Source organism: Homo sapiens, chromosome 10 (assembly GCF_000001405.40).
Source record: "Homo sapiens chromosome 10, GRCh38.p14 Primary Assembly".
Taxonomy (NCBI): domain Eukaryota; kingdom Metazoa; phylum Chordata; class Mammalia; order Primates; family Hominidae; genus Homo; species Homo sapiens.
This window is the reverse complement of record NC_000010.11, coordinates 32465778-32488154: the sequence shown is the minus strand read 5'-3', so window position 1 is coordinate 32488154 and position 22377 is coordinate 32465778. Positions and strand designations below refer to the sequence as shown.

Sequence of the window (22377 nt, the reverse complement as noted above, 5' to 3'; positions counted from 1 at the left end):
GCAGCCAGGAAGCTCAAACTGGGTGGAGCCAACCACAGCTCAAGGAGGCCTGTCTGCCTCTGTAGACTCCACCTCTGAGGGCAGGCCATTGCCAAACAAAAGGCAGCAGAATCCTCTGAAGACTTAAATGTCCCTGTCTGACAGCTTTGAAGAGAGTAGTGGTTCTCCCAGCACGCAGCTGGAGATCTGAGAACGGACAGACTGCCTCCTCAAGTGGGTCCCTGACCCCTGAGTAGCCTAAATGGGAGGCACCCCCCAGAAAGGGCAGACTGACACTTCACATGGCCAGGTACTCCTCTGAGACAAAACTTCCAGAGGAACGATCAGGCAGCAATATTTGCTGTTCACCAATATCTGCTGTTCTGCAGCCTCCGCTGCTGATACCCAGGCAAACAGGGTCTGGAGTGGACCTCCAGCAAACTCCAACAGACCTGCAGCTGAGGGTCCTGACTGTTGGAAGGAAAATTAACAAACAGAAAGGACATCCACACCAAAACCCCATCTGTAAGTCACCATCATCAAAGACCAAAGGTAGATAAAACCACAAAGATGGGGAAAAAACAGAGCAGAAAAACTGGAAACTCTAAAAATCAGAGTGCCTCTCCTCCTCCAAAGGAACGCAGCTCCTCACCAGCAATGGAACAAAGCTGGACGGAGAATGACTTCGACGAGTTGAGAGAAGAAGGCTTCAGACAATCAAACTACTCTGAGCTAAAAAAGGAAGTTCAAACCCATGGCAAAGAAGTTAAAAACCTTGAAAAACAATTAGACGAATGGCTAACTAGAATAACCAATGCAGAGAAGTCCTTAAAGGACTGATGGAGCTGAAAACTAAGGCACGAGAACTACATGACGAATGCACAAGCCTCAGTAGCCGATTCGATCAACTGGAAGAAAGGGTATCAGTGATGGAAGATCAAATGAACGAAATGAAGTAAGAAGAGAAGTTTAGAGAAAAAAGAATAAAAAGAAACGAACAAAGCCTCCAAGAAATATGGGACTATGTGAAAAGACCAAATCTGATTAGTGTACCTGAAAGTGATGGGGAGAATGGAACCAAGTTGGAAAACACTCTTCAGGATATTATCCAGGAGAACTTCCCCAATCTAGCAAGGCAGGCCAACATTCAAATTCAGGAAACACAGAGAACACCACAAAGACATTCCTCGAGAACAGCAACTCCAAGACATATAATTGTCAGATTCACCAAAGTTGAAATGAAGGATAAAATGTTAAGGGCAGCCAGAGAGAAAGGTCCAGTTACCAACAAAGGGAAGCCCATCAGACTAACAGCTGATCTCTCGGCAGAAACTCTACAAGCCAGAAGAGAGTGGGGGCCAATATTCAACATTCTTAAAGAAAAGAATTTTCAACCCAGAATCTCATATCCAGCCAAACTAAGCTTCATAAGTGAAGGAGAAATAAAATCCTTTACAGACAAGCAAATGCTGAGAGATTTTGTCACCATCAGGCCTGCCCTAAAAGAGCTCCTGAAGGAAGCACTAAACATGGAAAGGAACAACCAGCCACTGCAAAAACATGCCAAATTGTAAAGATCGTCGAGGCTAGGAAGAAGCTGCATCAACTAATGAGCAAAATAACCAGCTAACATCATAATGACATGATCAAATTCACACATAACAATATTAACCTTAAATGTAAATGGGCTAAATGCTCCCATTAAAAGACACAGACTGGCAAATTGGATAAAGACTCAAGACCCATCAGTGTGCTGTATTCAGGAAACCCATCTCACGTGCAGAGACACACACAGGCTCAAAATAAAGGGATGGAGGAAGATCTACCAAGCAAATGCAAAACAAAAAAAGGCAGGGGTTGCAATCCTAGTCTCTGATAAAACAGACTTTAAACCAACAAAGATCAAAAGAGACAAAGAAGGCCATTACATAATGGTAAAGGGATCAATTCAACAAGAAGAGCTAACTAACCTAAATATATATGTACCCAATACAGGAGCACCCAGATTCATAAAGCAAGTCCTTGGAGACCTAGAAAGAGATGTAGACTCCCACACAATAATAATGGGAGACTTTAACAACCCACTGTCAACATTAGACAGATCAAAGAGACAGAAAGTTAACAAGGATATCCAGGAATTGAACTCAGCTCTGCACCAAGTGGACCTAATAGACATCTACAGAACTCTCCACCCCAAATCAACCGAATATACAATCTTCTCAGCACCACACAGCACTTATTCCAAAATTGACCACATAGTTGGAAGTAAAGCACTCCTCAGCAAATGTAAAAGAACAGAAATTATAACAAACTGTCTCTCAGACCACAGTGCAATCAAACTAGAACTCAGGATTAAGAAACTCACTCAAAACTGCTCAACTACATGGAAACTGAACAACCTGCTCCTGAATGACTACTGGGTAAATAATGAAATGAAGGCAGGAATAAAGATGTTCTTTGAAACCAACAAGAACAAAGACATAACATCCTAGAATCTCTGGGACACATTCAAAGCAGTGTGTAGAGGGAAATTTATAGCACTAAATGCCCACAAGAGAAAGCAGGAAAGATCTCTAAAATGGACACCCTAACATCACAATTAAAAGAACTAGAGAAGCAAGAGCAAACACATTCAAAAGCTAGCAGAAGGCAAGAAATAACTAAGATCAGAGCAGAACTGAAGGAAATAGAGACACAAAAAACCCTTCAAAAATTCAATGAATCCAGGAGCTGATTTTTTGAAAAGATCAACAAAATTGATAGACCACTAGCAAGACTAATAAAGAAGAAAAGAGAGAAGAATCAAATAGACGCAATAAAAAATGATAAAGGGGATATCACCACCAATCCTACAGAAATACAAACTGCTGTCAGAGAATACTATAAACACCTCTATGCAAATAAACTAGAAAATCTAGAAGAAATGGATAAATTCCTCGACACACCGTCCCAAGACTAAACCAGGAAGAAGTTGAATCTCTGAATAAACCAATAACAGGCTCTGAAATTGAGGCAATAATTAATAGCTTACCAACCAAAAAAAGTCCAGGACCAGATGGATTCACAGCCGAATTCTACCAGAGGTACAAGGAGGAGCTGGTACCACTCCTTCTGAAACTATTCCAATCAATAGAAAAAGACGGAATGCTCCCTAACTCATTTTATGAGGCCAGCATCATCCTGATACCAAAGCCTGGCAGAGACACAACAAAGAAAGAGAATTTTAGACCAATATCCCTGATGAACATCGATGCAAAAATCCTCAGTAAAATACTGGCAAACCAAATTCAGCAGCACATCAAAAAGCTTATCCACCACGATCAAGTGGGCTTCATCCCTGGGATGCAAGGCTGGTTCAACATGCACAAATGAATAAATGTAATCCATCATATAAACAGAACCAACAACAAAAACCACACAATTATCTCAATAGATGCAGAAAAGGCCTTTGACAAAATTCAACAGCGCTTCATGCTAAAAACTCTCAATAAACTAGGTAATTGATGGGACATATCTCAAAATAATAAGAGCTATTTATGACAAACCCACGGCCAATATCATACTGAATGGGCAAAAACTGGAAGCATTCCCTTTGAAAACTGGCACAAGACAGCAATGCCCTCCCTCACCACTCCTATTCAACATAGTATTGGAAGTTCTGGCCACGGCAATAAGGCAAGAGAAAGAAATAAAGGGTATTGAATTAGGAAAAGAGGCAGTCAAATTGTCCCTGTTTGCAGATGACATGACTGTATATTTAGAAAACCCCATCGTCTCAGCCCAAAATCTCCTTAAGCTGATGAGCAACTTCAGCAAAGTCTCAGGATACAAAATCAATGTGCAAAAATCACAAGCATTCCTATATACCAATAACAGACAAACAGGGAGCCAAATCATGAGGGAACTCCCATTCACAATTGCTTCAAAGAGAATAAAATGCCTAGCAATACAACTTACAGGGCATGTGAAGGACCTCTTCAAAGATAACTACAAACCACTGCTCAGTGAAATAAAAGAGGACACAAATAAATGGAAGAACGTTCCATGCTCATGGATAGGAAGAATCAATATTGTGAAAATGGCCATACTGCCCAAGGTAATTTATAGATTCAATGCCATCCGCATCAAGCTACCAATGACTTTCTTCATAGAATTCGAAAAAACTACTTTAAAGTTCATATGGAACCAAAAAAGAGCCCACATTGCCAAGTCAATCCTAAGTCAAAAGAACAAAGCTGGAGGCATCACGCTACCTGACTTCCAACTATACTACAAGGCTACAGTAACCAAAACAGCATGGTACTGGTATCAAAACAGAGATATAGACCAATGGAACAGAATAGAGCCCTTGGAAATAATACCACACATCGAAAACCATCTGATCTTTGACAAACCTGAGAAAAACAAGAAATGGGGAAAGGATTCCCTAGTTAATAAACGGTGCTGGAAAAACTGGCTGGCCATATGTAGAAAGCTGAAACTGGATCCCTTCCTTACACCTTATACAAAAATCAATTCAAGATGGATTAAAGACTTAAATGTTAGACCTGAAACCATAAAAACCCTAGAAGAAAACCTAGGCAATACCATTCAGGACATAGGCATGGGCAAGGACTTCATGTCTAAAACACCAAAAGCAATGGCAACAAAAGCCAAAATTGACAAATGGGATCGAATTAAACTACAGAGCTTCTTCACAGCAAAAGAAACTACCATCAGAGTGAACAGGCAACCTACAGAATGGGAGAAAATTTCTGCAATCTACTCATCTGACAAAGGGCTAATATCCAGAATCTACAATGAACTCAAACAAATTTAGAAGAAAAAAACAACCCCATCAAAAAGTGTGCAACAGGTATGAACAGACACTTCTCAAAAGAAGACTTTTATGCAGCCAAAAGACACATGAAAAAATGCTCATCATCACTGGCCATCAGAGAAATGCAAATCAAAACCACAATGACATACCATCTCACATCAGTTAGAATGGTGATCATTAAAAAGTCAGGAAACAACAGGTGCTGGAGAGGATGTGGAGAAATAGGAACACTTTTACACTGTTGGTGGGACTGTAAACTAGTTCAACCATTGTGGAAGGCAGTGTGGTGATTCCTCAAGGATCTAGAACTAGAAATACCATTTGACCCAGCAATCCCATTACTGGGTATATACCCAAAGGATTATAAATCATGCTGCTATAAAGACACATGCACACGTATGTTTATTGCGGCACTATTCACAATAGCAAAGACTTGGAACCAACCCAAATGTCCAACAATGATAGACTGGATTAAGAAAATGTGGCATGTATACACCATGGAATACTATGCAGCCATAAAAAAGGATGAGTTCATGTCCTTTGTAGGGACATGGATGAAGCTGGAAACCATCATTCTCAGCAAACTATCGCAAGGACAAAAAACCAAACACCGCATGTCCTCACTCATAGGTGGGAACTGAACAATGAGAACACATGGACACAGGAAAGGGAACATCACACACCGGGGCCTGTTGTGGGGTTGGGGGAGGTGGGAGGGATAGCATTTGGAGATATACCTAATGTTAAATGACGAGTCACTGGGTGCAGCACACCAACATGGCACATGTATACATATGTAACTAACCTGCACGTTGTGCACATGTACCCTAAAACTTAAAGTATAATAAAAAAAAGAAATTCTGATGCCAAAGAATATAATAAAATTAAAATTAGAAAAGATAAGTAAAAAATATGTCCACTGTATAATTCATCAAGGAGAAGAAAGAATCTGTAAACTTAAAGAAAGTTATTTGAAAATATACAGTTAGGAAAAAAAGAATAAAGAATAAAAAGGAATTTTAAAGGCTATTACCTATTGGATACAATGTTCACTATTCAGGTGATGGGTACACTAAAAGCCCAGACTTCACCACGACACAATATATACATGTAAGAAATCTGCAGTTATCTCCTCTAAATATGTAAAAATTTAAATTTTTTAATTCTGAAAAATAAAATAAATAAAGCCTACAGGATTTATGGGACAGCATCAAGAGTGTTATCATTTACATTATAGGAATTAAAAAAAAAGAAAAGAAAAAGGGGCAGAAAGCTTATTTGAAGAAATAATGGCTCAAAATGTCCCAAATATAGGGAAAGATATAAACATCAGAAAGATAAAACGTCTCCAAACAGGTACAACCCAAAGAATATTTCATCAAAATGTATTATAACCAAACTGTCAAAAATTAAAGACAAAAAGAGAATCTTGAAAGCAACAAAGAAAAGAGCTTCCTCACACAGAGAGAATCCCCATAGGGCTATCAGCAGTGAAAATTTTGCAGTCTAAGAGAGAGTAAGAAGATATTTTCAAAGTTCTGGAAGAAAAAAACTGCCAACCAAGAATACCTTACCCAGAAAAGTTGGTCTACAAAAATGAAGGAGTGATACTTTCTCTGACAAAAGCTCAGGGAGTTCATCATCATCAGGCTTGCCTTACAAAAATGATAAAGGGAGCTCTTCAATCTGAAATGAAAGGACACTAAGTAGTAACACAAATACATATGAAAGTATAAAACTCACTGGTGAAAGTGTGTATATAGTAAAATTACATACCATAATATTGTAACAGTAGTCTGTAAATCACTTATGTCTACAGAATAAAGGGTAAAAAACAAAATACCTATAGCTACAATAATTTCTTAATAAAATTCAATATAAAATATGTGAATTATAACATCAAAAACATAAAATGCTTAGAGGGGAGTAAAAGTATATCAACAAATCACAAAGGAAGATAGCAAACAGGGAATAAAAGAACAAAGGATCTACAAAACAGCTAAAAAGCAATTAACAGAATGGCAATAGTAAGTCCTTATTTATTAAAGGTAACTTGAGAGTAAATGGATCAAATTATTCAATTCAAAGACACAGAAGGGCTGAATGAATAAAAAAACAAGACTACCTGCTGCTTACTCACAGAATAAATGTGAAGGGATGTTAAGTAGATACTCCATGCAATTAGAAACCAATAAATGAGCAGCTGTGGCTATACTTGGACATCAGACCAGATACTTTAAATCAAAAACAGTCACAAGAGACAAAGAAGATTATTATATAATGAAAAAAGCTCAAGAGAATATAACAAATATATACACACCCAACATTGCAACACCTAAATATATAAAACAAATATTAATAGATCTGAAGAGAGAGATAGACAGCAATACAATAATAGCAGAGGCCTTCAGTACTCTACATTCAATAATGGACAAATCATCCAGACAGAAAACAAATAAGGAAACCTTACATTTTAACCACACTTTACACCAATGGACCTAACAGACATATACAAGATAGTCCATTCAACAGCAGGAGAATATAGAGCTTTCTCAAGTGCAAATGGAATGTTCTAAAGGACAGATCTTGTGTTAGGCCAGTAAGTCTTATAAAATTTAAGAAGGCTAAAATCATATCAAGTATTTCCCAATCACAGTGGCATGAAACTAGAAATCAATAACTGAAGAAAAATTGAAAGATTTACAAATATGTGGAAACTAACATACTCCTGAGCAATGGGTCAAAAAGAAAATCAAAAAGAAATCAAAAAATATCTTATGACACACAAAAATGGAAACATACCAAAATTTATGTGATGCAGCAAAAGCAGTTATTAAAAGGAAGATTATAGCAATAAAAACCTACATTCAAGCTGGGCACAGTGTCCCACACTTGCAATATCAGCTACTAAGGAGGCTAAGTGAGAGAATCACTTGAGGCCAGGAGTTTGAGGTTGGAGTGAGCTATGATCACATCACTCTACTCCAGCCTGGGCAACAGAGCAAGACCCTATCTCTAAATAAATAAGTAAATAAATAAAGTATACATTAAAAAAAGACAAAAGAGCTCAAATAACGTAATGTCACACCTCAAGGAACTAGAAAAAGAACAAACTGAGCCCAAAGTTAGTAAAAGGAAGGAAATAAGAGATTAGCGCAGAAGTACATAAAATAGAGACTAGAAAAATCATAGAAAAGTTCAACAAAACTAAGATTTGGTTTTTGAAAAGATAAACATAATTGACAAGACTTTAGCTGGACTAAGAAAAAACAGCAAGACTCAAGTAACATTGGAAAAGAAAGAAGAGACATAATAACTGATACCACAAAAATACAAAGGATAAAGACTACTGTGAACATTTATACACCCACAAATTAGATACCCTAAAATAACTGGATAATTCATAGACACATACAACCCACCAAGACTAAATCATGAAGAAACAGAAAGTCTGAACAGACTAGTAATTAATAAGAAGACTGACTCAGTGATAAAATCCCCCACTAAAAAAAAAAAAAGAAAAAACCAGGACCCAGTGGTTTTATGGCCTAATTCTACCCAACATTTAAAGAACTAGTAGAATCCTTCTCGAATTCTTCGAAAATCTTGAAGAGGAAGGAATACTTCTGAACTATTTTTCAAGGTTAGTATTACCCTAATACCAAAGCCAGACAAAGACGCTATGAGAAAAGAAAACACAGTCCAATATCTCTGATGAATATGGATACAAATATCTTTAACAAAATACTAGCAAACTGAATTGACAGCACATTAAAAGAATCATTCACTATGACCAAGTGGGACTGATCCCTGGGGTGCAAAGATGGTTCAAAATATGCAAATAAATGTGATATACTGTATTACTAGAATAAAATACAAAAATCATATGATAGCCTCAATATATGGGGAAAAACATTTGAAAAAATTCAACATTCTTTCATGACAAAAATAATAAATTAGATACAGAAGGAATGTACTTCAAAACAATAATGGCCAACTATCACAAGCCCACAGCTACACAGTCAACAGTGAAAAGTTGAAAGATTTTCCTCTAAGATGAAGAACAAGATAAAGATGCCCATTCTTGCCACTTCTATTCAACATAGTGCTGGAATTCCTAGCTAGAGCAATTAAGCAAGAAAAGAAATAAAAGGTGTCCAAATACGAATGCAAGAAATAAAATTATTTCTATTTGCAAAAAAAGAAAGAGGGACCATCCCTACCGACCACATGGACATAAAGGGACAATAAACAAATACTATAAATAACTTATGCTAACAAATTTGATAATTTAGATTATATGGACAAATTCTTGGAAACTCACAATCTACCAAAACTCACAAAGGAGAAATTGATATTATGAATAGGCCTATTTAAAAGAAATTGAATCAATAATTAATAACCTTCCAAAACAGCAGGTACTATGCTCAGATGGTTTCACTTGGCAAATTCTACCAAAATTTAACTAAGAAATTATGCCAATTCTTTATGATCTCTTCCAGAAGACAGAAACACAGAGAACATTTCCTGACTCATTCTATGAGGCCAGTATCACTCCAATACCAAAGCCGGACAAAGACATTACAAGAAAAGAAAACTACAGATGAATATCTTTCATGAATACATATGTGAAAATCCTCAACAAAACATTAGCAAATCACATACATAAATGTATAGAAAGAACTATACAACACAACCAAATGGGTTATTCCAGGTACGTAAGGCTAGTCCAATATTCAAAAATCAATTAATGTAATCTACATGCTAAAGAAGAAAAATCATATGATCATATCAATAAATGCAGAAAACGTATTTGACAAAATCTAACACCTACTCATAATTTTAAAAAACTCTTTGTAAATTATAAATAAAATAGAAGTAAGCTTCCTCAGTTTGATAAAGAAAATCTACAGAAAGTTTATAGCTAACATCATACTTACAGTGAAATCCTAAATGCTTCCTCCCTAAGATCAGGAAGAAGGCAAGCATGCCCATTTTTACCATGCTATTTAACATCATACTGGAAGTCCTAGCTAATGCAATAATATAAGAAAAGAAAATCAGAAGGAAGAAGTAACACTGTCTGTTAGATAATGTGACTGTCTCTATAGAATATCCCAAAGAATCACCAATATCTAGTAATAAACAATTATTGCAAATTTACAGGACACAAAAGTTAATTGCAATTGCTTTCCTATATACCAGCAATGAAGCATTTGTATTTGAATTTTAAATTATAGATATTAACACCATTTATAGTAGCACTGAAATTTCAACACTTCAGTGTAAATCTAAAAGAAAATATGTACGAGATCTATATGAGGAAAAGTTCATTACTCTGATGAAAGAAAGCAAATAAGATCTAAATAAATGGAGAGATATTTCAAGTTCATAGAATGAAAGATACAATATTGTTAAGATACAAGTTCTTGTCCATTTAATCCATAGATTCAATGCAATCTCAATCAAAATCCCAGCAAGGTATTTTTTGGATACCAACAAATTGTTTCTAAAGTTTATAAAGTTTAATAGACCCAGAGAAGTCAACACAATGTTGAAGAACAACAAAGTTGGAGGACTGACACTACCCAACTTCAATACTTACTAAAAGCTAAAGTAATCAAGACATGTAGCACTGCCAAAATAGACAGACAAGCAAACAGAATAAAGAGTCCAAAAACAGACTCACAAATATACGCAACTGATCTTTGGCAAAGGAACAAAGGCAACTCAATGAAGAAATAGTACTCTTCTCAACAAATGATGCTGAAACAACTGGACATCCAAATGCAAAAAAAAAAAAACAATGACTCTAGACATAGACTTTACAGTTCTCACAAAAATTAACTCAAAATGGGCTGGGCGCAGTGGCTCACGCCTGTAATCCCAGTACTTTGGGAGGCTGAGGCAGGCGGATCACGAGTTCAGGAGTTCGAGACCAGCCTGACCAACATGGTGAAACCCCATCTCTACTAAAAATGCAAAAATTAGCCGGGCGTGGTGGCGCACGCCTGTGGTCCCAGCTGCTAGGGAGGCTGAGGCAGGAGAATCACTTGAACAGGGAGGCGGAGGTTGCAGTGGGTCGAGATTGCACCATTGTACTCCAGCGACAGAGCGAGACTCCATCTCAAAAAAAAAAAAATTAACTCAAAATGGATCATAGTTATAAATGTAAAATGCAAAACTATAAAACTTTTACAAGGCAGTAGAAGAGACTATCTAGGTAACTTTGGGTTTGAAGATGAATTTTTACACACAACACCTAAAGCACAATTCGTGAAATAAAAAAAAAATGTTAAGTTTGACTTTATTCTGGCTCTGCAAAAGACACTGCTAAAAGAATGAAAAGATAAGCCACAGACTGAGAGAATATCTTTGCCAAATACATATCTGATACAAGGCTTGTATCCAAAATATAAAAAGAACTCTTAAAACTCAACAATAAGAAAACGAATAACCCAATTTTTAAAATGGGTAAAAGACCTGAATACCTCACCAAAGAAATGAAACAGATGGCAAATAAGCTTATGAAAACATGCTCAACATCATGTATAATCATGGAACTGCAAATGAAAACAATGAAAAATCACTACACAACTATTAGAATGGCTAAAAGCCCAAACACTGTCAATTCTAAATGCTGACAAAGATATGGAGCAACAAGAATTCTCCTCAATTGCAGGGGGGAATGCAAAATGGTACAGCCCCTTTGCACGCTTATTTGGCAGTTTCTTATAATGCTAAACAACTCTTATTATATGACTTAGCAGTCATGCTCCTTTGTGTTTACCCAATTGAGCTGAAAACTTACATCCACACAAAAACCTGAACAAAAGTGTTGATAGTAGCTTTATTTATAATTGCCAAAACGTGGAAACAACCAAGATGCCCTTTCATAGGTAAATGGATAAATTGTAGTAAATCCATAAATTGATTATTTATCAGCAATTAAAAAGAAATAAACTGTCAAACTATTGAAACTTTGACAAACTATTGAAACACAGAGGAACTTTAACTGTACATTGTTAGGTAAAAGAAAGACTAATAATATCAAATATACAACATTCTTGAAAAGGAAATACTACAGAAACAGTAAATAAACAGATTAGTGGTTTCCAGGGATTCAGGTGGATGGAGGAAGAGGTGAATAGGTGGGACACAGGGGATTTTGGGGGCAATTAAACTATTCTGTGACACTGTAATGGTGGATCCAAGACATGATACATTTGTCAAAACCCACTGAGCTGTACAAGGCAAAAAGCAAACCAGATGTAAACTATGGACTTTAGTTAATAATAATGTATCAAAATTGGTTCATCAACCATAACAAATGTATCACATTAATGCAAAATGTTAATAACAGGGGAAGCTTTATGCGGGAATGGGGGGACTGCACTAATGGGAGCTCTGTAATTTCTGTTCAATTTTTCTGTGAACCTAAAACTTCTCTAAAAAATAGTCTATTAATTATTAAATGAAGCAACATCAAGATGAAATTGTGACCTGAAAGCAAAACCAGAGTGCAATACAAAGGTAGCTTTTGTCTTGCTGGCCAGGCTATAAGATTTAATAGAATTTAGAAAACAGGAAGGGAAGAGAGGATTAAGTGTGGCCAGAGAAGAAGACAGGAGGTACTTTTAAAAGAAAATTATGGTAAACAAGTGAAATACAGCAACAGAGAAAGACAGTAGGTCAATACTAGTAAAGCTAAGAACCTGAAACAACTGCCACTGAAAAAAGATCTTACGAATTTGCAAAGCATTTTCTCCATATTGTACAATATAATTCTGTCCTCTGTTCCCCTTTAGAACCATGAGCAAAATCTCAACTATATTTTATCCTTTTGAAATGTGGTTTTATGATTGGAAGATGTATTCCATTAGACTATAAGTGGGTACAGGGATTTCTGCTTTCATCCATGATGGAGCATCAGGGACCAGAATTACTTTTCTACTTTAAACCACTTAAATACTGGACAAAAATACATGAAACAGTGGTATTCAGAAATTGGAAAACAGTGAATGCAGTACATATGGAAATAAAGTGGAAAGGCCCTGTGATGACCCCAGTTTGCTGTCTAGAATTGCCAGTCCACAGTGTAGGGAAGGGGAACTCAGAGCATACTGGTCACCTTGAGTTTAGGAAACAAAGTTCAGTGTTTGTGGAAGCCAAGGTACAATATTAGAAGGAAGGCAACCATACAGATTGAGAGAGAGAAAAAGAGAGAGCTCTTGAGAGGTCCATAGATGTACAAAGGATTCCCCTCGATGTATACAGAGGTTTTCACTATCTACTCCTAAGTTCTATATACCTTTCTACCCCACCTAGTCAGTCAGAGCTCTCTTCAACCAGAAATCTCTATAGAACTTGGGAGTGCTGTAAGATGTGCAGCTGTCCTTGGTTTAAACATGGCAACGTTTGGGTTTAAAGCTGAAGTTGAAAGAGGGCAGAATTCCCAGCAACCTGTTCCAAGCAAATATTATTTTCTACTTTTGAACTGTATTCCATAGTGTGCTTTACACTATTATTTCAAAATTCTCTCCAGCCCTAAGACACAAGTAAGTTAATTTCCTTTCTATTGACAAATAGTCATAAACTTAACATACAAGCTCTAGCAGTTCTTTATATTCCTGAACTGACAACTACTCATCTGCAGTCAAAGCATTTGTGGATATAATTCCTAGTAACAAAATCTACAAACTATTTAAATTTATCACTGCCACACCTCAAAGGCCTGCCAACATTTCAGTAGTACGTTCTAATCACAACTCAAAATTCTCCATTCCATGTACTAACATGCACTCCTCAAAAATTAATCTAGGCCGGGCGCAGTGGCTCACGCCTGTAATCCCAGCACTTTGGGAGGCCAAGGCAGGCAGATTACCTGAGGTCAGGAGTTCAAGACCAGCCTGGCCAACATGGTGAAACTCTCTCTACTAAAAAAAAAAGAAAAAAAAATACAAAAGTTAGCTGGGTGTGGTGGTGCATGCCTGTAATCCCAGCTACTTGGGAGGCTGAGGGACGAGAATCACTTGAACCCAGGAGGCAGAGGTTGCAGTGAGCTGAGATCATGCCACTGCACTCCAGCCTGGGCAACAGAGCAAGACTCTGTCTCCAAAAAAAAAAAAAAAAAAAAAAAAAAAAAAGAATCTAGTTTCAGTAACACGTATCCTTAACTAAGAATTTCAATACTTGCTTGACAACCAGCTCAACTATATGGCTCCAAACTCCAAGGCAAGGAGTCTGCACTGTTAACCTAATAATTATTACTTTATAGAAATTAATGTAACAGAGGTTATTATCACAATAATGCTTTAATGAGTGGAAACTTACGTGGTTCTGTTGCAGAAACATCTTTAAATTCATCAGTTGAGTGGGCTTCTAAGAATTCTGAAGTAAAAGTGTATTTGTCACTATAAACTTCAAACGGCAATTATATATACTAATTGAGTTTAAATTTTATTGTTTTAATTTTAGTAACTTATTCAGAAGAAAGAAAACTTTGAAAAAATAATAACTGCCAACACTGCAGATCTTCCTAATCAGGTAAGAAATGGTAATATTTAAAAGAATGTGTGTAACAGCTGATTATAAACATCACTTTCTCATCAAAACTTGTTTTTGCTCTTGTATTCTCTTATATTCATTGATGGTACCATCATTATCTAGTCTTCCTTCCTTCCATATCCAATCATCAACTTTCAAGTAAATATTTCTCAAACCTGACTCCCTTCTTCTTTTCACTAGTCTCTGAATATAGGTACTGATCACACATCTAAGGTATAATAACTTCCCTTTCCTACTCCTAGTCCCCAAATCTAGCTTCTACAGTGCAATCAGGAAAAAACTTCTCTAAAATTAAATCCTACAAAAAATCTTCAATGATTATTATTTTTGAAAAAAGTCTAAGCTCCTTAGCAGAGCATCCATTCCCACTATGACTAGGCCCTCTGTTACTTCATCCCTATATATTGCTTCTTACTCTAATACCAATCCAGTTGTAATTCTCTATGCATGTTGTTTGTTCATGCTATTGTCTTCTTAAAATACCAAATATTTCCCTTCTTTACTTGACTAAATCCTATTCACCCTTTAAAGTTGCATAAAGCCTTCTAACTCCTTAGGTTGAACAGATTGCTCCTTTCTGTGGACCCAATGCAAATTCCACATACCTTTATCATGCATGACACTGTACTAACATGCTAGATAATGTACTTGTATCCTTACTAAGCTGTAAATTTTATGGAAGTAACAACCACATTGTTGTCTGTATAGGGGATACACATTGTATTCATTTTGTATGTTCCCAGAATTTGGAACATAATAAAAACTTTTATTAAAATATCAAACTCACTATTAAGTATTATCTAAATTTACCATTGTATAATTTTATAACTGTAAATTTTTAACTTTAAGTCTCAAAATGTTCATACACTTAGGAAACCCCACAAAAGTCAAACATGCCGGGCATGGCGGCTCATGCCTGTAATCCCAACATTTTAGGAGCCCGAGGTGGGAGGATCACTTGAGGCCAGAAGTTCAAGACCAGCCTGGGCGACATAGTGAGACCTCCATCTGTACAAAAAAAAAAAAATCAGCTGGCCTCAGTGGCCTGTGCCTGTGGTCCTAGCTACCTCAAAAGGCTGAGCAGAGAGGATCACTTGAGCCCAAGAGTTTGAGGCTGCAGTGAGCGATATTCATGCCACTACACTCCAGCATGGGTGACAGAGTGAGACCCTCTCTTTAAAAGATAAAAATAATAACAAAATTTTTAATAAAATTTTTAAGGATAAACATATATAAAATATTATCACCTTCAATTTTCTGTGCCAGAGCTTCACAACTTTTCACTGCTTCTGGTCGATTTTCTTTATCCCTGTTAAAGTTCGATAAATGAAATATTTTTTAATATATCAAAGAGTAAGAGTTTAAATTACACTAAAATAACTAAAATGTGAAGTCCAGACATATGAAGTTTGTAGAATAAAAATTAAACATATCTTTAATCTTTACTCACAGACACTAAGGTAAACTTACAAGTTACAAGTTGAAAAGTCAAACTAAACTATGTAATTATATGAATTCCATGTAGGCCATGAATATAATTAAGTATACCAAAAACATTCACAACAAAAACAGCAAAAATAAATTGTTAGAAACATGAGGTATCTTTTTGTCGAAGTATTATTATCAATCGTATAATGATGAAGGACATAAGTTCCGGAGTGAGACTACCTGACCTTTGGGTCAAAACCTGTTTCATCCATTTACTAATTATATGACCTCAGCCAGGTATATTACTTAACCTCTATTGGCTTCAGTTTATTCTCATTAAAATTGGGGTATAATAGTACCTTTCTCATAAAGTAGTTATGAAAATCAAAGATTATACATGTAAAGTTACTACAAAAATCGCTAGTACACAGCAGACACTTAAATGTCAAGTATGAATATGGTCTAAACCTTAATCTTTGAACCAAGGATCTACTTATGCAACCCCCAGGAGCCAACTCAAGTACCACTCTCTTCATTATTTTCAGTTATTGACAGAGATATCACTAAAGTAACTGCATAACTAGTGGCCCCTCCCAACTATGGGTATGTATATTCTATTTTAACACAAAAAAAGAATGTTTTATCTGTCTAATGCAAAAACATGGTTGCTTATAAATGTAAAAATTTTACTTGATAAGCTGTTAATATAATTAATGAAGGTGTTCATGAACAATGAAGTATTTCATTAGATCTTAGTTTCCTATTTATTACTAGGAGTTTCCTAATCAAACTGAGAGAAGAGTTTATAAGCCAGATATTTCAAAGCTAGCAATGTCCAATATAACTTTCTAATAACAGCCACATGTAGGTACTAAGCACTTTAAATGCGGCTAGTGTGACTAAGAAACTGATTTTCTACATTGAATTTGCATAGCCACATGCAGCAAATGTCTCCTGTATTGTACATCTCAGATTATTTAAAATTGCAAATAGAAACAAGCTGACTAGACCTGATTTGACTAAGAAGCTCTGTGTATAGCCATCATATCTGACCCATTATCTTACATTCAGTGCTAATTATATACCCTTTCTTACTGTTTTTAATTCAATTAGTTCTTATATTTCACTTACATAGTTTTAGACAACATGACTTTCACGGAGGATTTAGACCTCTGTTTAAGGCGATTCTTCAGTTCTTCAAATCTTTGTACAAGCCTTACTATTTCTGCAATATTTAAAATGACTGTTTTGTCAGGTTTTGGAGGCTCTGCTTGTAAAAGAGTTTGATCTTTACTTATCTAAAATAATAAAATTAACCAGTTATTTAGTAAATACCCATTTTGTTCCCATACCTCAAATAAATTTCATTATCTCCTTTATTAAATCAAAGTAATTTTTATATTTTTCTTATCTATAGCTATAGCCAAGTAATGATACAATATTTTACAAATATATTTATATGAGCAATTATCTATGAATAGAACTATAGCTCAGTGATGGCTTTTACATGTAAAGCCTGAAATCTAACTGTCTGTTTATTGCTTTAATATATAGGAATTTTAAGCAAGTCCAATAACAATAAATGCAACTCAAAATATTTACAAGAGTCATTCTAAATTGTTTCCCATAAATTCTTTTTAAGAATACCCTTACTGTAGTAAATTATCTAAAGACAGTAATTTTCTCTCAAAGGCTAATACTGTCTATTACTAACTCCCAGAAGTTAAAATATAAAGATCTATGGAACTAGCATTTTTCCAGTCTGCATGGGGAAGACTGTGACATATTTGGCTGTCTTGAGACCTTTGGAATAGATCAAGCTAAAAAATAACAAGCCGTGGAAAGAAACAGCAAGATTCACAGAATAAGATGACCATAATTACTATTCTAGGTAATAAGTTTACTTAAAGAAAATTCAGCAAGAATGAGTGTCCAAAAACCACAGCAAAAGAAACCTACAAACAGCCAATGTGTGGAGACATAAACAAGCAGAATAGCAATTGGGGTCAGCAAGTTTTGATAGGAAAATGGCACAAGAGTAATGTTAAAATAATTGCTTGCCCTAAATTCAGAGATCCACCCATGTAGACATCTCCAATCCTTATGCTAGGAGGAAAAGTTGGGGAAAAAATGAAGTCAAGGACTTCGCAAAGATAAATTCTAGCACTGGGGATTTAGAACAGAGACTTCATTTTTGTAATGACTGGAATGAGAGTAGGATATAACAGCAGAAGTGAATGCTGGGCAATGCACTAGAAGTCTGAGCTTGGGTATAGGGAAGATATGGCAAGGAACACAGAATAGGTGGAAGAGAAGCAGGAGACCTAAGGAAATTCTATAGACAAAGAAAATATTCCAAATAAGAAGCCGCAAATCATAAATTGAGTCAAAAATAATGTCATCAATTTACTGCATCTCATCTCAAAAATCTATTCTTCATTGTCTTGTCTGTGATAGTGGAATATTTCTTCCCTGACAGGTGGCCTGATGTTAGCCTTTTTCAGTAGAGGGTCCTGAAGAGGCACTAGAAGAGGAAGAAGATTTTCTTCCTAGTTCTGTGTATCTCTCTCTGCTTCTTCCTCAGGTAGTGTGTAGTATATTTTATAGTACTCACCCCCAGAAAATTTCAACAGCATCACCTGATGGATGGCTTCCTGGTAAGGTCCCTGGCATGGCAGATTCCTATGGGCAGCTTCCCCCAGAACTTCGTAGCAAAATCCACCAGTGCAGAGCCTCCCTTAGGGAAGTTTTCCAACATATCACCCTTGTGAACAGCTTCCCAGCAGGAAGTACAACACCTCTCTGGAAGGTGGCTTTTCCTAGCATCACAGAGGGCAGATTCCTAAGTGTACCACCCTCATGGACACCTTCCCAGTGAGTTCGAGCTCCACCAGCCTTGCAGCCCAGCAGACTTCTCTGCCATGTAGTGATGAAAGCTGCTCCCTCTTCAGAAGTTCTGCATCTTAGCCCTGCGTTGCTGGGAGGGAATGATTGGGGATATTCATATTCTGATTCCATCCTAGGAGTTGAAGTTGTTCCCTCTATCTTCTACTCCTGTATTCATTAGAATTATCTTTACTCCTTTAGTAGAATGTCTATCAATATCCTTTAGTAGATATTCCTCTGTTACAATAATTCTTTATATTAAACTTTCCCTAACCAAATTACTGTGTGGTTTTTGTCCCTTGATTAGACTCTCGATACATCACATTTCCCAATACAGATTAAATTTTAACAGAAGTCCTTTCTGGGAAAAAAGATAAAGGCACAGAACTAAAAGAGTATGGAATAGATAGTGGGTTATCAGCTAAACGGTTTCTTCAGAAAGATCTTTGGGGCACAGATTCCAGCAAGACAATTCTGAAGTGTACAGGCTACTGTAGGTTCAGCCTACATTTCTCTGGTGTAGCTCACCATATTCTCTAATAGTTTCCACATGTATCTCTGTTAATGCAACATGTAATGCAAAATGATCACTGACATTAACCTTACCAGCATGTACTAACAATAAATTATGTCAGCAGTAAAAAGATTATCACAAGATTCTCAAATGTTAGTGTGCATAAGAATCCCTTGTTTCCTACCTGTTGAAGCAGTAGACTCCTAACTCAGAGACTCACAAAAGAAATCTAATCCAGTAATGTGCACTTATAACAGGTATCTTGGCTGACATTTAAACGTGTTCTATCAACTACACTTTAAGAAACATTCCTTGAGGTGCCCTCTCCCAGCACTCCTATTCAACACAGTATTGGAAGTCCTGGTCAGAGCTATCAGACAAGAGAAAGAAATAAAGGCATCCAAATAGGAAGAGTGGAAGTCAAACTATTCCCATTTATAGACAACATAATCCTATATCTAGAAAACCCCAAAGTCTTGGCCCAAAAGTTCCTTCAGCTGATAAACAGCCTCAGCGAAGTCTCAAGATACAAAGTCAATGTACAAAAATCACTAGCATTCCTATACATCAACAACAGTCGAGCCAAGAGCCAAATCAGGAATGCAATCCCATTCACAATTGCCACAAAAAGAATACCTAGGAATACAGCTAACCAGGGAGGTGAACAATCTCTACAAGGGGAACTACAAAACACTGCTCAAAGAAATCAGAAATGACACAAACAAATGGAAAAACATTCCATGTGCATGGATAGAAAGAATCAATATGGTTAAAATGGCAATACTTTCCAAAGCAATTTATAAATCCAATGATATTCCTATCAAACTAACAATGAAATTCTTCACAGACCTAGAAAAAATCTATTTTAAGCTCATATTGGAACCAAAAAAGAGCCCAAAGAGCCAAAGCAATCCAAAGCAAAAAGAACAAATCTGGAGGCATCACACTACCCGACTTCAAACTATACTACAGGGCTACAGTAACCAAAATAGCACGGTACTGGCACAAAACCAGACACATAGAGCAATGGAACAGAATAGAGAAGCCAGAAATAAGGCTGCACACCTACAACTATCTGATCTTCGACAAACCTGACAAAAGCAAACAATGAAGAAAGGACTCCCTATTCAATAAATGAGGCTGGGATAACTGGTTAACCAAGTGCCGAAGATTTAAACGGGACTCATTGCTTACACCATGTACAAAAATTAACTCAAGATGAATAAAAGACTTAAATGTAAAACCCAAAACTATAAAAATTCTGGAAGACAACCTAGGCAATACCATTCTGGACATAGGAATGGGCAAAGACTCCATGAAGATGCCAAAAGCAATTGCAACAAAAGCAAAAATTAACAAATAGGATCCAATTAAACTTAAGAGCTTCTGTGCAGCAAAAAAAACTACCAACAGAGTAAACAGGCAACCTAGAAATTGGGAGAAAACATTTGCAAACCATTCACCTGACAAAGGTCTAATATCCAACATCTATAAGAAACTTAAGCATATTTATAAGACACAAACAAACAACACCATTAAACAGTGGACAAGGCCGGGCGCAGTGGCTCACGCCTGTAATCCTAGCACTTTGGGAGGCTGAGGCGGGCAGATTGCCTGAGATCAGGAGTTCGAGACCAGCCTGGACAACATGGTGAAACCCCGTCTCTACTAAAATACAAAAAAAAAAAAAAAATTAGCCGGGCATGGTGGCATACACCTGTAGTCCCAGCTACTTGTGAGGCTGAGGCAGGACAATTGCTTGAACCCAGGAGGCAGAGGTTGCAGTGAGCGGAGATTGTGTCACTGCACTCCAGCCTGGCGAGGGAGCAAGACTCTGTCTCAAAAAAAAAAAAAAGTGGACAAAGGACATGAACGACGCTTTTCAAAAGAAGACATACACGGGGCCAACAATCATATGAAAAAAAGCTCAACATCACTGATCATTAGAGAAATGCAAATCAAACCACAATGAGATACCACCTCATACCAGTCAGAATGACTATTATTAAAATGTAAAAACAAAAAATAAAAGATGCTGGCAAAGTTGTGGAGAAAAAAATGCTTATACATTGTTGGTGGGAGTATAAATTAGTTGCCTGCTGTGGAAAACAGTGTGATGATTCCTCAAATATCTAAAAACAGAACTACCATTTGACCCAGCAATCCCATTACTGGGTATATACCCAAGGGAAAATAAATCATCCTATCATAAAGACACGTACATGTGTATGTTCACTGCAACACTATTCACAATAGCAAAGACATGGAATTGGCCTAAATGTCCATCAGTGGTTGACTGGATAAAGAAAACGTGGTACATATATACCATGGAATACTATTCAGCCATATAAATGAATGAGATCATGTCTTTTGCAGGAACATGGATGGAGCTGGAGGCCATTATCCTTATCAAACTAGCACAGGAACGTAAAACCAAATACTGCATGTTCTCACTTATAAGTGGGAGCTAAATGATGAGAACTCATGAACACAAAGAAGGAAACAATAGACACTGGGGTCTACATGAGGGTGGAGGTTGGGAGGAAGGAGAGGAGCAGAAAAGATAACTGTTGGGTACTGGGCTTAATATGTGGGTGATGAAATAATCTGTACAACAAATATCTGTGACATGAGTTTACGTAAATAACAAACCTATACATGTACCCCTGAACTTAAAATAAAAGTTTACAAAAAAAAAAAAAAAAGAGAGAGAAACACTCCTTGAAAAACAGTACATAATACAAACCTTTAGATCATATATCTGGTACACCAAATTAATAAAATATTAAAGATAAGTAATTATGGGTTTAAACATTGAAAAACTTGAAATTCCAGATCAGAAGTATACTGTGCAGTGGGGATTCCTCCTGGTGATTATGAATGCACTGGTTGGGATTTCAGGCAAAATGGATATGATAGTAACCAACAATAAGGTGTAGACACAGAGAAAAGTGGACACATCTGACAGTTATTTAGAAAGTAAAACCCAGAGGACTTGTGGATAGATTAAATATCAGGAATAGATGGAAGTGAGTTGTCAGGAATGGTTTCCACATTTCACATTTACCCAATTTGATAAATAGTACTCATTCACTAAGATAGGGAACACTAGAAGAGATATGAGTTTAGGAGTAAAAATTCATATTTCTGACCCATTGCATCTGAGGTGGAATAGTCTAGTAAG

The 22377-nt window shown here is 36.5% G+C and overlaps 1 protein-coding gene across 45 annotated transcripts in view; it reads right to left on the bottom strand.

The window, feature by feature from the left end:
- The window catches only part of CCDC7 (coiled-coil domain containing 7), a 439541-nt gene that overhangs the window by 394710 nt on the left and 22454 nt on the right, over positions 1-22377 (bottom strand). For 36 of the 45 annotated variants that reach the window (NR_109826.2, XM_047425743.1, XM_047425742.1 and 33 more), the window contains 3 exons: positions 16925-17091; positions 15613-15674; positions 14132-14188 (listed from right to left, as the gene is read on the bottom strand). The exons of 1 other annotated variant lie outside the window; for it this stretch is intronic. Coding sequence is in view for 39 of the 44 variants with exons in the window: in XM_047425743.1 (XP_047281699.1) it covers positions 14132-14188; positions 15613-15674; positions 16925-17091 (286 nt within the window). In the remaining 5 variants the exon portion in view is untranslated. Of the gene's footprint in view, positions 1-6372; positions 6484-14131; positions 14189-15612; positions 15675-16924; positions 17092-18407; positions 18735-22377 lie in introns of those variants that run through there. 8 more of the 45 variants (NR_109827.2, XM_017016643.1, XM_047425747.1 and 5 more) reach the window with 5 other exon arrangements.